The following is a 13838-nucleotide window of genomic DNA, read 5'->3' on the forward strand; positions in this document are numbered from 1 at the left end:
AGTGTTGGGATTATAGGTATAAGCCTCTGCACCCAGCTTAAAAAATCCTATTTTCACAGTCTATGTGCAGAGCATTTTGGAAGTCAGGTAGAAACCATTTCCCATTTTCTATTACCTGGGTGATAGTTGACTGGTTTTTGTTCTTTGAAATCCATTTTAAAAGTGTATGGTCCTCTATGAAAATACTTCTAATTATTGATGTGTGAAATGCTTTGAAATCCTTGGATGGAAATCTTGTACCATGAAAGAACAGAACTGTTGGTGGTGTCTCTGGGAGAGGCTCACGAGGGCCGGGCAAGCCTGTGGGGGTAGCAGGCAGTCACTCCCATGGGGACAGGCTGACCTGGCAGGCTTATTTCCCATGGAAGTGGGCACTGAGGAATAAAAAGCAGTTTCAGGCCAGGTGCGGTGGCCCATGCCTGTAATCCTTGCACTTTAGGAGACTGAGGCAGGGGGATCCCTTCAGCCCAGGAGTTCGAGACCAGACTGGGCAATATAGTGGGACCTCGTTTCTACAAAAAATGAAAAAATTAGTGGAGTGTGGTGGCACACTCCAGTGGTCCCAGCTACTTGGGACGCTGAGGTGGGAGGATCGCTTGAGCCTGGGAGGCAGAGGTTGCAGTGAGCCAAGGTCATGCTATGAGTAACATTTTGAAGGTCCACTTCTGGGATTCATCCAGGAGCTAAACGGGTCATGTCCAGCCAACTCAGCATTCACCAAGGTACGTTTCCAGACCAAACACCACATTGTCCATAGACTGATATGCCTCAAAAACCTGGTAGAGGTGGGCACGGGGTTAGGTAGAAATCATCTTCCTCCCTTCCTTCCCCACCAAACTTTCTGGTGACAGAAGCTTTTCTGTAACTGGGGCAGAATGGGGTCAGACACTCTGGCAACTTACCCATTGGTGTTATGAAATATAAAACATTAATGTATTTATATAAAAAGTGATAGATGAAATTAAAATTTGCTGTTCTATTAAAACCATATTAGATTTTAAATTATTATAGAGATTATATTTTAATGTTTTAAATGTATTTGATACATTACAAAATTATTTTAGTTACAAGCATATCATTAAAGCTATTCTTTATTATTACAAAATGCTTTTACAATGCTATTCTTGACAACAGGAAAATACTTACCCTCACTGAAATATGTGGAGTACCATTTTTTGGAAACCATGTCAAGCATAATGGCAATATTCAGGTTCAATCTTCCTATAGATCTGCTCAATATTTATCTAAACCTTAGCTTCTATTCTTTTCACATGTTATTAGCTATATTTTCACTTAAAAAATTGGAGGCTGAAGGGGTAAGCAAACAAACTTTTGAAGTAGACAAAGCTCATCTTTAATCAACAGACTTTAGAGTCCAGTCTTTCCAAATCTGTTTTTAACGACAGAAACTTCTCCCTCCCCTGCCCCATTTTGTCCTCCCCATTAAATGGTACTGTGTCAATAAAATTCCCAAGCGACCTCTTTAAATCAGCGTTCTTTCCGATGCTGGCTACCACAGTCATGGAAAAGGGAGATGTGTTGGACAGGCCTGTCATTACAGGTAGTAGTTGGTGGTACATCCAGTCTGTATTTCTTACACAAAATTACATCTAAATATTTGACATGAGGCCATTTGCTATCATAAGCCATCACTAGGAACTTCTAGTCTGTCTCACTCGATTGAGGCTACAATGTTGTTAGGTGCTATGACCACAATGAATACAACAGACAGCCTCTCAGCTGTGCTGCAAAGTATTCATAACCAAAAGACCATATTTCAAATTAAATCATAGTAGCGAATGACATACCATTTACATATTACAATCTGAGCCTCTGAAACAGGGGGAACATATAATGGTATCCAGAACATCTTTACATCAAAATAACCTATCATACTACAAAGTTTTCACTTCCAAAAAGTGTAACAGAGTTTAAGGCACTGGTAACTTTGTCCACTGTTAGAGATTAAAACTTCCAAAGCAAATGAAAGAACCAATGTTCACCTTTAACGTGGGGAAAGTTGGCAAAAAGAACCCCAGGAGGACACCCAAACCTTCTCTGTGTCCTCTGTGGAACCTGGCTTTTTTCTCTTGTCCTCAGAGAAAGAAACAAATGCCGATATCCTCTGTTTAAAATATGAAAGTACCTTACACCAATAACCCCTAACAGCCTGGGGTCTCAGTGGAACTAACTTAAGTGAAAGAAAATTAAGACAGGCATAGAATTAGGCCTTTGTTTTGAGGCTTTAGGGGAGCAGAGCTCCATTGTGGCATCTGGAGTTTCACCTGAGGCCTACAGGGGTTTCAAATGGTTGCATTTAAGGTCAGAATCTTTGTGTTGGGAAATGCTAGCGACTGAGCCTTGACAGCTGAGCACGGGTTGCCTCATCCCTCTCATGCTGTCTATTTCTTAATCTAACAACTGGGCAATGCGTTAAACTGGCTTTTTTGACTTCCCAGAACAATATCTAATTAGCAAATAACACAATTCAGTGACATTCAGCAGGATGCAAATTCCAGACACTGCAATCATGAACACTGTGAAGACAGTCTTCTCCGTGGGCCGGGACACAAAGCAGTCCACAGTGTTGGGACAAGGCCAGGCGTTGCACTTCACCAGCCGCTGCATGGAGAAGCCGTCGTACATGACATAGAAGACGTACATGAAGGCGGCTTCGAAGATGACCCGGAAGAAGATGCTGCTTGTGTAGGTCCACCACAGGGAGCCTTCGATGCGGACCTTCTGGGTTTTGATCTCCTCGATGTCCTTAAATTCACTCTTTATCTCCCCCTTGATGAACTTCCTCTTCTTCTCATGTCTCCGGTAGGCCACGTGCATGGCCACTAGGAGCGCTGGCGTGGACACGAAGATCAGCTGCAGGGCCCATAGCCGGATGTGGGAGATGGGGAAGTAGTGATCGTAGCACACGTTCTTGCAGCCTGGCTGCAGGGTGTTGCAGACAAAGTCGGCCTGCTCATCTCCCCACACCTCCTTTGCAGCCACAACGAGGATCATAATGCGAAAAATGAAGAGGACGGTGAGCCAGATCTTTCCAATGCTGGTGGAGTGTTTGTTCACACCCCCCAGGATCGTCTGCAGCGTGCCCCAATCCATCTTCTACTCTGGGCGGTTTGCTCTGGAAAAGACGAATGCACACAACACAGGAATCACTAGCTAGGACAGAACAGGGAGACTTCTCTGAGTCTGGGTAAGCAAGCATGCTTAAATCTCTTCCTGAGCAAACACCAACTCTTACACAACCTCACCAAAACAGGTGAAGACAGAACCAACTTAGTTTGTCATAGGATTAAATGTATAGTTCCCAAACCCTCTTGAACGTGTTTTTAGGTGTTCTCTGATAAAAAGTAGCTTGTTCACCTGAGTAATTCACCCAATCTTTAAACACATCATAAAAATTTGCTGTGCTGGGGAGTGTCATAAAGTCCTCGTTAGCTGAAAGGCACTCAGGGGTTCTGACCGTACCCCTGCATCCTCTGCAGAGCTTCCTTGGGTCTTCCTGACTCTGCAGAAGTTACTCAGCGTTCAACAGCTGCATCCATTTGCAGTCTCAAGTTTTGGCTGTACCACTGGGGCCGATACTAGCTTGGGCCAACCTTGCTCAAAGGCTGAGAGGCCAAGTACAGGAGAACCGTGAGGATAAGATGTCTAGTCTCTCTGCTGAGCCACTTTCCTTAATGTCTTGAATGAATTTTCACAGACGTGGCATGTAGCAGTGAAACTGTTGTTACCAGTGGTTAAGTTTACATTTGAGGCACCCCGAGTTAAAATTTTACAAAGGACCTTGCTTCCTCCTACGTGAAAGGAAGAGGTTAGGAATGCCCTCTTCATGGAGAAAAGCCACTGTGAGCACAGACTTTCGTGTAGGCTTTGTGGATGGCTTGGTGGCCTCACTGTCAGGCTGGCACTGATGGCTCAGTTAGCATATCTGTTTTGATAAGTGCTGCAACAGTGCATTATAATTGTGGGCTGTGGTTTTAATTTCAAAGTGTTTCTTAAAAGACACATTATTTTAAAATGACAGAAAATTCAACTCCCTCGGTTACTGGCCCAGCTAAGCGACGTCACTGCATTGCAGTTCAGCGCTGAAGCTTGGGAGAGTCCCACACTCCTTACTGCAAGCGGATGTGGAGAGGCCAGTGGATAATCTCCTGTGAGCCCATGGCCTTCTTTTCATCCCAGGATGTGAATTGTCTTCACTGATTCATAGTTACACCCTGCCTGCCACAACCAACGCTCTCCTAAACAAGATTCCACCCTCTCCACAATCCGGATGAATCATCTCTTTTCCACCCTTCAGAGCTGGTAGTGAATCCTCCTTCTTCTTTTTCTTAAAAGCATCCTCCTCTCCTCATTTTAGGCAAGTTGCATCCCGTTTTCTGATGGACTCCAGAAGCAGGCTCGTAGTGAATGTCTTTCATGACCCACAGTCGCTGCCACGGGGCACCAAGGTCAGGCAGAAACCATCCAGTGCCACCTTGGTCAGAGGCTAACAGGAGAGAGGTGGCCACGAAAGTTACATCAGATTGACATAGGCCTGTGAAACATTTAGCTTCACTGAGCTTGGGAAAGACAACATCATTGGAAAAAACAATATTTTAGCCCAGGTTCAGCACTGACCCATTGATAATCCAGACTGGGAGGCCCTTAGGTGAGCTGGTTGTCCTGCTACAGCACCCACAGCTCAGGCCAGTCCCGTCCCAACAGCAGAACCACCGAGGACAGCAACATTCCGATTTTAACAAAAGCATCTTATGGAATTAGACATTCTTCATTGGCCCTCACTGAGTGGAAAACAGGATACTCCCCGAAGTAAACTCTCTCCTGGTTTACAACAATACACCTGGCCAAGAATATGGGGCTGCAGGAGGAGGGGTTTATCCTTTGCCCTCTTCCACCTGCCAAACCCAGGTCATACACCCTTCTACAGACCTGTCCAGTTACCATCAGCTGAGAAAAATACAGTTCCGAGAAACCCTATATTGTTATTTTATAAAGCTTGAGTTGAAGCTACCTGTTTTAAAGATCCTTTTTCAGGAAGAGGAGTAAATTAAGATTTACTCCCCAATGGGCTAGGGGGTCATGGGTTAAGAGGGGCTCAGAAGCAGGACGAAGTTGTTTTCAATATTCAAGTCAGAGGAGGAGCTGCCCTCCTGGCCTCCCGACCCTGGGCGGTTACATGCAGCTTCCTACCGGGCCCACGCCATCCTGCACCGCCTGGAGGGCTGCCAGAGGCCAGCGGAGGAGTTGGTTCAGTTCCTTAGGGAAGACACTAGGTGAATCACCAGGATCCAGAAAAGGCAAAAGGGACTCTTCACCCCTTAAATTTCTCCACCCTTAGGTGATGGGTGGTCGACCTTGCCTGGCTGTCCCCAGAGGGTTCCTCCACCCTTCTCACCAGTGTCTGAAATTGTGACCGACTGTGCACAGCAGTTTCGAAAGGGACTCTAAGGTCACATGGGGACACGGCCGTACCACGCTTCTCAAGGCAGTCCCAGGTGCATGGCCACGGAACCCAGCTCTCAGCAGCTGTTAGTTAGGTGAGCGCTGTTCGGGCTGCCTTCCTCCTCCAGTGGGGCAGGATCGAGGCACTGATGGAACCGTCCTGAGGACGCGGGTCTCAGCCGCACACCACCTCTTCGCGAACAAGGGTCCTAAAAATTTTCCTTCTAGGCGGGGAGCACAGCCCGGAAACAGACCCTCGTGAAGTGTTTAGGAAAAAGGGAAGCCACTGAAATCTTGGCCCCGGGGTAGGCCGGGATCGGCTGGCTCCGCGTTAGTTCTAGGCAAACTCCGCCCAAATCTCTGCCCGGGGATTTTTCTGCAGAAGCCGCTCCAAGAGGTAAAGGTCAGTTCCTGCAGCGAAGGCTTCCTGCTTCACCGGCGAAACGGAGCTTTGCTTCGAAGCTAAGCTTTCGGTGAATTTAAAACGTTTGGTGGCAGTGGGTCAAGTAGCCAGGCGGCTGCGCTAGAGTACCCCGAAGGGACATCGGCGACACCACAAACCTCGCGCTGGCGGCTCGCCCGCGCCTTTTTCCCCTCCCGCGCGCGCCCGGCCCCACTCGCACCCCGGGCGGTGCCATCGCGTCCACTTCCCCGGCCGCCCCATTCCAGCTCCGGAGCTCGGCCGCAGAAACGCCCGCTCCAGAAGGCGGCCCCCGCCCCCCGGCCCAAGGACGTGTGTTGGTCCAGCCCCCCGGTTCCCCGAGACCCACGCGGCCGGGCAACCGCTCTGGGTCTCGCGGTCCCTCCCCGCGCCAGGTTCCTGGCCGGGCAGTCCGGGGCCGGCGGGCTCACCTGCGTCGGGAGGAAGCGCGGCGGGGCCGGGGCGGGGGTCTCGGCGTTGGGGTCTCTGCGCTGGGGCTCCTGCGCTCCTAGGCGGGTCCTGGGCCGGGCGCCGCCGAGGGGCTCCGAGTCGGGGAGAGGAGCGCGCGGGCGCTGCGGGGCCGCAACACCTGTCTCCCGCCGTGGCGCCTTTTAACCGCACCCCACACCCCGCCTCTTCCCTCGGAGACTGGGAAAGTTACGGAGGGGGCGGCGCCGCGGGCGGAGCGCGCCCGGCCTCTGGGTCCTCAGAGCTTCCCGGGTCCGCGAACCCCCGACCGCCCCCGAAAGCCCCGAACCCCCCAAGTCCCCTTCGAGGTCCCGATCTCCTAGTTCCTTTGAGCCCCCATGAGTTCCCCAAGTGCCCCCAGCGCCCTGAGTCTCCCCCGGTTACCCCGAGCGCCGCCTCCCCCAGCCCCTTGGCGGCCCGGGTGAAGCGGGGGCGGCTGAGAGTCGGGACCCCCCAGGAAGCGGCGCCCCAGACCCCGGCTCCGGCGCTGTGCCGTGGGCGGGGTTCAGGGATGGCTGTGGTCGTTGTCCTCTGTACTCCGCATAGTGCGAGAGGACTTGGCATTTATGAGCGCTTCTTTAATTTTTTATTGTTAGAGAAACAGGCATTCCTCCAAGGACTGAAGATCTGTTCGAGTCGCGGAGGCTGCGCGGGCCCGCGAGGCTCTCGCAGGGGGACCTAGGCTGGGTGGCGGGGCAGTGCCCTCTGGAATGGGGGTTAACGGTGGCCGAGGAGGGGGCGCCGCTGGTGCCGGCGAAGTCCCCGCTTCTTTCTCCCCTCAAAATCTCACCAATCCGAACGAACGCCTTCTCGAATTTCCGATTTTATTCAATTACTTTCAACAATGTGCCAAGGACTAAGGTTGGGGGCGGTGGGAGAGACAAGCCTCGTTTTTGCCATGGCCGGCAGGGGGGTCCCGCCATCTGCGGAGGGTGCCCCCCGCGGCCCCCGGCCCAGCCAACTTCCTCCTCTTTTCGCAACTGGGGAACTGCAAGGAGGTGACTCCTTTCGGGGTGAGGAGGCCCAGACTTTTCAGAAAGGAAAGAGGGCAGGTAAAACCTGCCAAGCCCCTTCCTGCTCGATGCACACAGCACGAAAGGGGGAAACTGATAGGATTCTGCGGAAGACCGCTGGGGGGCTGGCTCTGCACTGCACACCTGCTGGGGGCTTTCTGGATACCGTGAAACTTTGTCTCAGATTATGAGGTCTCAGTATTTGCATTTGGTTGGGGATTTTGATGTCTTGCGATACAAATGACAGAAGACAGATTTGCACAGCGCAAGCGGATGAGGGACTAAGATGTGCAGAGCAGGCTGGGTGGGGACTCCCGGGGAGGTCTCCCCCAACCCCCGCCCCACCTCGGGCACCCACTTCGCGATTTTTGCAGAGGGGAGCCAGGTCAGAGGTGCAGCCTGGTCCCCTCGCGCTCACGTTTTTACCCAGGTCAGTTCGAAGTTAAGTGGAAATGATGATTAATCCTGACAAGTCAGATCTGGCCTCAGAATGGATTTCCCGTGATTGCCACCATTATTAGCATTGACTTTTCCTTGAAAAATTGGCGCCCCGTGGCCATGGGCCGACCTAGGCAGTTTCTGCAGGGACGAGCGTGAGTTTTGTACCGCGGTTACCACCTACTTTCCAGCTCCAGGTCTTAGTCTAAGAGGGAGTGTCTGCTCATGAAGAGGCAAAGCCCCAGGAGCTGCGAAAAGCCTTGCATGGCCCATCTGAGAGATGTGCTGAGTCGGCTTGTTAAAAATGACAGGCAAAGCCTGTGGGGTGGGGCAGCTTTCTTGGCCTGAGCGCATCTTGGTTGAGCCAGAGGTGACTTGGGGTGGGGAGTGGGGCGCCGGTTGGTGGGTTCTCCCTTTAATTTCTCAAAGGCTGTGGTGTTTATGAGTCTGTTGGAATCCTGGTTGGGTTGGAATGAAGGAAGGTTCTAGAACCATTGTGGGAAGCTCGCTAGTAAAGATGGTTTGGAGATCGGAAGTTGACTGACTTTCCCCCATTGAAAAATGTCACCTGAGATTTTAGTGCCTGTATCACGATTATAGGCTCAACTTTCTTTTCCTTGTTTTCTTTGATTTAGTTCTCCTTATGTGCAAAATTACTGTGTGATGTTGGCTAGTCGTATTATCACAGCCACTCCGTGTTTTCAGGATTTGTAGCTGGAAGTCCTATAGCACTTAAGTCTTCACTTACAGATCAGCGCTTGCTTTTATTCTGTTTTGTGTGATTTCTGCTGTTTTCCTGTGAGTTGGTGTTTTCTTCCCAAGTAGGCTCAGGACTCCTCTAGGGCAGGACATTATATGCATGTACATAGTGTCCTCCAGTGTAGGGGAGGAGAAGGAGGAGAGGTGAGGTGGGAAAAGGGTGAGGGAAGGCTTGGATATTTGAAGTTATTTACAAATGAGCTTAGACGTAAATCCAGTTAACAGATGACACCACAAATTAATGATTAAAGAAATCCTGAAATTATTTTGTAAATTACACACTTATATTGCTGCATTTTTTTTCTGTTGAAAGCATTACTTTTAACAGAAATGGAAACATTGGAAATAAACCATGTTTTTCTCACCTTTTATGTCTTCATCTCTTAATGTACCAGTCCCTAGAGAAGCTGAAGCCCAATCCTGTGTTCCTCCACCCCAGCCACCCAGCCCCATGGTGAGGACACAGGGAGCTTAGGATAGTACTGCTGCGTGCAGCATACACCTTTGTCTCATTGACGTGCAGAGACTGACCAGATAGAGAAGGTTTTTTGATGGAAAACTCACTGTGGTGTCTGCCTGGTTGATCTTGAATGATGGCAAGTGGGCACTTTTCAGGTAACTATTGATGATTAACTGACAAAGATCTGTGAAGGCTACACTTTGTCACTTCAGAGTGCCAGAGATACCCATCAGTAATATTTTTACATATATGCTTAGTACCATGCAGGTAAATCCCAGGTGATTGTCATCGAGCTGAACTTTTACTCAGATGTTTAAAGTGATGCACTTGTAAGGTTATAAGGTGAAAATGCTAATGTTTAAAGCTATTTGGCATTTTAATTTGACAGTTGTTTTATAAATGAACCAAAAAGAAAGAAGTTGCTGTTTTGCAATAAATCAGTGTGACACAAATCATATTTCTTAATATTTCAAGTGACTGCTTGCCAACTGCCTGATGGAATGGCACCGTGAATTCCCGCCGGGAAGAATGCTCTAAATATACATTAAACATGTCTTGGTTGAATTTCCGACTCACGAATCACACGTAGGTGATGGCAGAAAATGATGCAAGACGCGAAGAGACTGTCCTACCACTTGGCAGTTTTAGGGCAAGTTGGATTCATTGAGTGTCTTTTCAAGAGCCATTAGTTAATGGACCACATTCCCTTTTCTTGCCTTGCTGTTGAAATATTAATAATAATAATAACTGGCAAAAAAAGAGAAACTTTAGCTCTCCTCAAAATAGCAGTTGGAAACTGACAAGCTCCTGGCATCTCTGGTTAATTAATAATAACTTACATATGATACTGTAATTTTAATGCAGGAGTGGCTCCACTGTGCTCCTTTGTGGGTAATTATTACAGGGAACACTATTTCACTACAATTTCTCTCTGTGTAATTGAACCACACCCTGACTTATGTTTTCTGAAAATTGTTAAAGTCAAATCTTTTGGGGAAAATCTGTTGTTCCATTCAAAGAGTTAAAAAAAAATTCCAGCCTTCAATAATTTAATTGTTCTTTGCTTCCAAATTAAAGACATCTCATAAAATTCTAATTGCCAAGTTGTGACTGAAATTATTATATAGGCTTTTAAATTTTCCTCATTCTATTCTTATTTTCACACATACAATCTTTTGGGGGAAATTCAAACTGCTAGATGTGTCTCCGTTTCAAGGCAATGGTAGAATTAGTTGATCTCCTTGGTTTTGCTGAATGGACACGTGCTCTTACTCACAAATATATCCATGCAGTTCTTTTATGATTATCTAGGCAGACTGTGGATAAATTACAAAGACATTTCCAATTGTATTTGTGTCAAAAAGCACATTTTGGTCAGAAATGAATCCAGAGCTATAACTCCTTAAATAGGTAAATTTTTTTTACTTCTATTGAATATAAAAAGTAAATTCTGTAAATTATGGTGGCTTGCCAACATGGAAATTCTGGATCATTCACAAGGAAGCCAAAAAGAGCTCTACATTCTAGCTCTGGCTACAAAAATATTGTGCTATCTATCATCTTGAAGGGCTTCTGGAACAAGTTAGAATAGAGTCAACACTCATGAACTGCTGTAGCAAAAAAAACTATAGATGTAGGATTGACAAGGGCAATAGAGCGATGACTCCCTGGCTGTGTTGTATTTGATGGACGGCAGTAGCTTTTCACAAAATGCTCATTTGGATGTTTCAAATTAAAACGTTTCACTTTCTAGAACCAATTACGTGGTCAGTTTAGCTCCTGAGGTCCCAGTCAGAGGGGTATTCTGTAGCTTGCAAAGCCTCTCTTTGGGGACTGGACATGGAGTCTGTGGTCTTAGAATTCAGAACCGGGAGAATGTGTTAGCCACTCATCTAAGCTATTCCTTAAACGCTTTCAGAGCCATCTCCACTGTGGGGAAAGAAGTTCTTTGTGTTCTCTGACTTAGTCTCATTCTAAAAAAAAAAAAAAAAAAAAAAAAAAAGCAATTGCAATACCCAGAGCGCACAGTAGATGGCACTGAGACTTGTCGGAAAGCTGGACGCACTCAAGAGGTGGCAGAAAAATCTATAGGTAAGCTTTTCTTCTAGTCTGGTGTTGCTGCTCCTGACCTTATTAATGGGCTGAGAAATAGATTTCTTTCCTTTCCTTTTCTTTTTTATATGAAATTAAATGAAGTATAAAAGAATATGAGAATGTGTTGCTATTAGCAAGGATAAGTAATGCTTTAGGAAACGTTTGGTTCATGTGTGTGTTTTCAGACTGATGTGTGTCCTGGATCCAGTGTAAAATGTACTTCTGTCTGTAGGTCTCTGCCACAGAAAAGTTGGAAAGCCATTGTTGTATTCCATTTCCAGGGCAACAAAAGATACCACTGTCACTTCATGTGAAATGGTGTTGTTACTAAGAGGAGAGACAGCAGGGCCTTAAGAGCAGCCCCAGCTCTGCTGTGCCTTAAGTTCACAGTCCGTTGATCCCAGAAACCCCAGGTTGGTGAGATTTATTTGTGGATGGGCTGCTTAGGACCATCATTTCAGCTTGGAAAAGGACGTCCCAGGGCTCCTCTTTGTGATCTGAGAAGCAATAGCAACATTTAGTTAGGTCTTTTACTAGTTTAATACAATTATTTGTCTAAAAAAGGATAGGAATAATACTTTGATATGTAGTATGCTCAGAAATCAGGGATCAGTCATTTTAATGGGTTACATATTTAAAGAGCCAGATAGAGACTTTTAATGCCAAACGTATGCATTGAACAATTATGCTTTGGAAAAGAGGAGGCAGTAAACATAATGGTTTATATTGTCTCTTTATTGGCTTTGAAATGAATCAATGATGGCGGGGAATTTAGCGTATTAGACTATTGCTATTAGTGATATGGGGCTCTAGTACACATAGCTTTCATGGGTGAAGATGGTATTGGTCATCTCAGTCACCATCTGATGGGAAACATTCACTTATTCTTACAGGCTACGTGATATTGCATGTAGGTAATTAGGTGGCTGGGCTTTAGAAAGACACAGCCTCTGCTTACAATTTATGGTAGTTCCCCATTATCCATGAGGGGTACATTCCAAGCCCCCAGTGATGCCTGAAACCTCAGATGGTACTGAACCCTCTATATAATCTGTTTTTTCCTATACATACAAACCTACCATAAGGCTTAATGGTAAGAGATTAACAATAAAGAATAATAAAACAACACTTATAACAATGTATAACAATATATTGTAATATAAGTTTTTGGATGCAGTCTCTCTCTCAAAATGCTATCATATTTTCCAACTGTGGTTGACTACAGGTAACTGGAACCACAAAAATGAAACAGTGGATAAGAGGGCGACTCCTGTACCAAAGAAAAAAATAGAGTGTTGCAGCTGTAACATAGTTGAATGACTGAGTTAGACTGCATAACTGACACACAAAACCACATAAATATAAATGAAGGAATCTCTGGGTGTAATCTGGTGCAAAGGTGACTGTGTTAATCATTAATCCACAAGTTGCTATCCTGAAGTGTGCCAAATGCTTTATGTTTATTTCATCACATAGCTCTATAAAGAAAGGATTTGTAATTCCTTTCTACAGAAGTGGAAAGTAAGTCTTAAGACTCAAAAAACTTTAAAAACTACAATGAAGTAACAACTTTTATTAATTTATTTTGTGTCTTTCCAGAATTTCTATATATATAGGAATGTGATATGAATCTATATGTGAATTGAATCTACATGAATATTGATGACTTTTATTTCCCCTTTTGCACATAAGATAGAATATTTTACCTACTATTCCACACTTTGCTTTTCTTAACATATCATGGGATCTTTTTATATAAGTGAACAAAGAGTTTCTTCATTCTTTCACACAGTTTCATAGTATTCCTTTATATGATTATGTAATCATTTAATTAAAAACCCTTTTTTGATGGGTGTTTGGATTATTTCTAATATTTCGCTGTTACTAACAATAATATGGCTTCTGCTTCCAATTAAAATATAGAATGCAAAATACCATTATTCGTATGATAACAATAACAAAAAACCCTGATAAAATGAAAATCATACTTTTTTTGTGGCAATTACCAAAGAACAGTGGAGAGGGTAAGCTTTGATGAGCTGAATTACTGAGCGTGATGGTGAGCAGAGAGCCCACAGCTTCTTTCTTACTTGAGGGAAAGTACCTGATTTCTGTGTGGGAAGGTGGAGAAGCAGGCCTCTATCAATGAAGAGACTTTGTACCTTTAAGAAAAATCTGCCAAAAGATTTGGAGATGGTTTAGAATTTAGAAGTCCACCAAATGCAAAAATAGTTTGGCTCAACAGTCACCCCCTGTCCCTGATTTTACTGCAAAAGTGGCAGTGGAGGCAAGGCTGGAAAACAAACAATTTCATAGTGCTTGAATTTTGGAGCCATGTTAGATGCAAGGTAAGCCAAATGATATGAAATCTATGTCTCAACCTGCTTCCAGTTTGAACAGTAGTAAAACCAAAGAAACTAGCCATTATACAGTGGCGGCATAGGAAATTCAGGTTAGGCTGAGGAGCAAAGTAAAACGTCCTTGTTTCCATTAGATATCAGTGGTGCACTCAATTTAGTGAACACTACAGCTCAGTCTCAGCTCAACCTGACTCTTGATGAAATCTGATCAGATTCTCATTCCAGCCAGCTGGCAGAGAGAAAAGGACTTGCACTCACTAGAAAAAACAAAAACAAAACACTCCTGGAGAGTCTTTTATATGCAATGTCTAACCTTCAGTAAAAAAATCACAAGACGTGAGGAAATAGGAAAATGAGATCCA

The 13838-nt window shown here is 45.6% G+C and overlaps 1 protein-coding gene across 2 annotated transcripts; it reads right to left on the minus strand.

Annotated features, from left to right (window-relative positions):
• GJB2 (gap junction protein beta 2) lies at positions 1003-6471 on the minus strand. 2 transcript variants are annotated; one of them, NM_004004.6, is made up of 2 exons: positions 6316-6471; positions 1003-3136 (listed from the first exon to the last, which is right to left on the minus strand). In NM_004004.6, exon 2 carries the CDS (start codon positions 3112-3114, stop codon positions 2434-2436), a length of 681 nt encoding a protein of 226 aa, NP_003995.2. In that variant the 5' UTR covers positions 3115-3136; positions 6316-6471; the 3' UTR covers positions 1003-2433. The 2 variants fall into 2 exon arrangements, with proteins under 2 accessions (NP_003995.2, XP_011533351.1); XM_011535049.3 differs by having other exon boundaries at positions 5494-6471.

The sequence above is a fragment of the Homo sapiens genome, chromosome 13 (genome assembly GCF_000001405.40).
Source record: "Homo sapiens chromosome 13, GRCh38.p14 Primary Assembly".
NCBI lineage: Eukaryota > Metazoa > Chordata > Mammalia > Primates > Hominidae > Homo > Homo sapiens.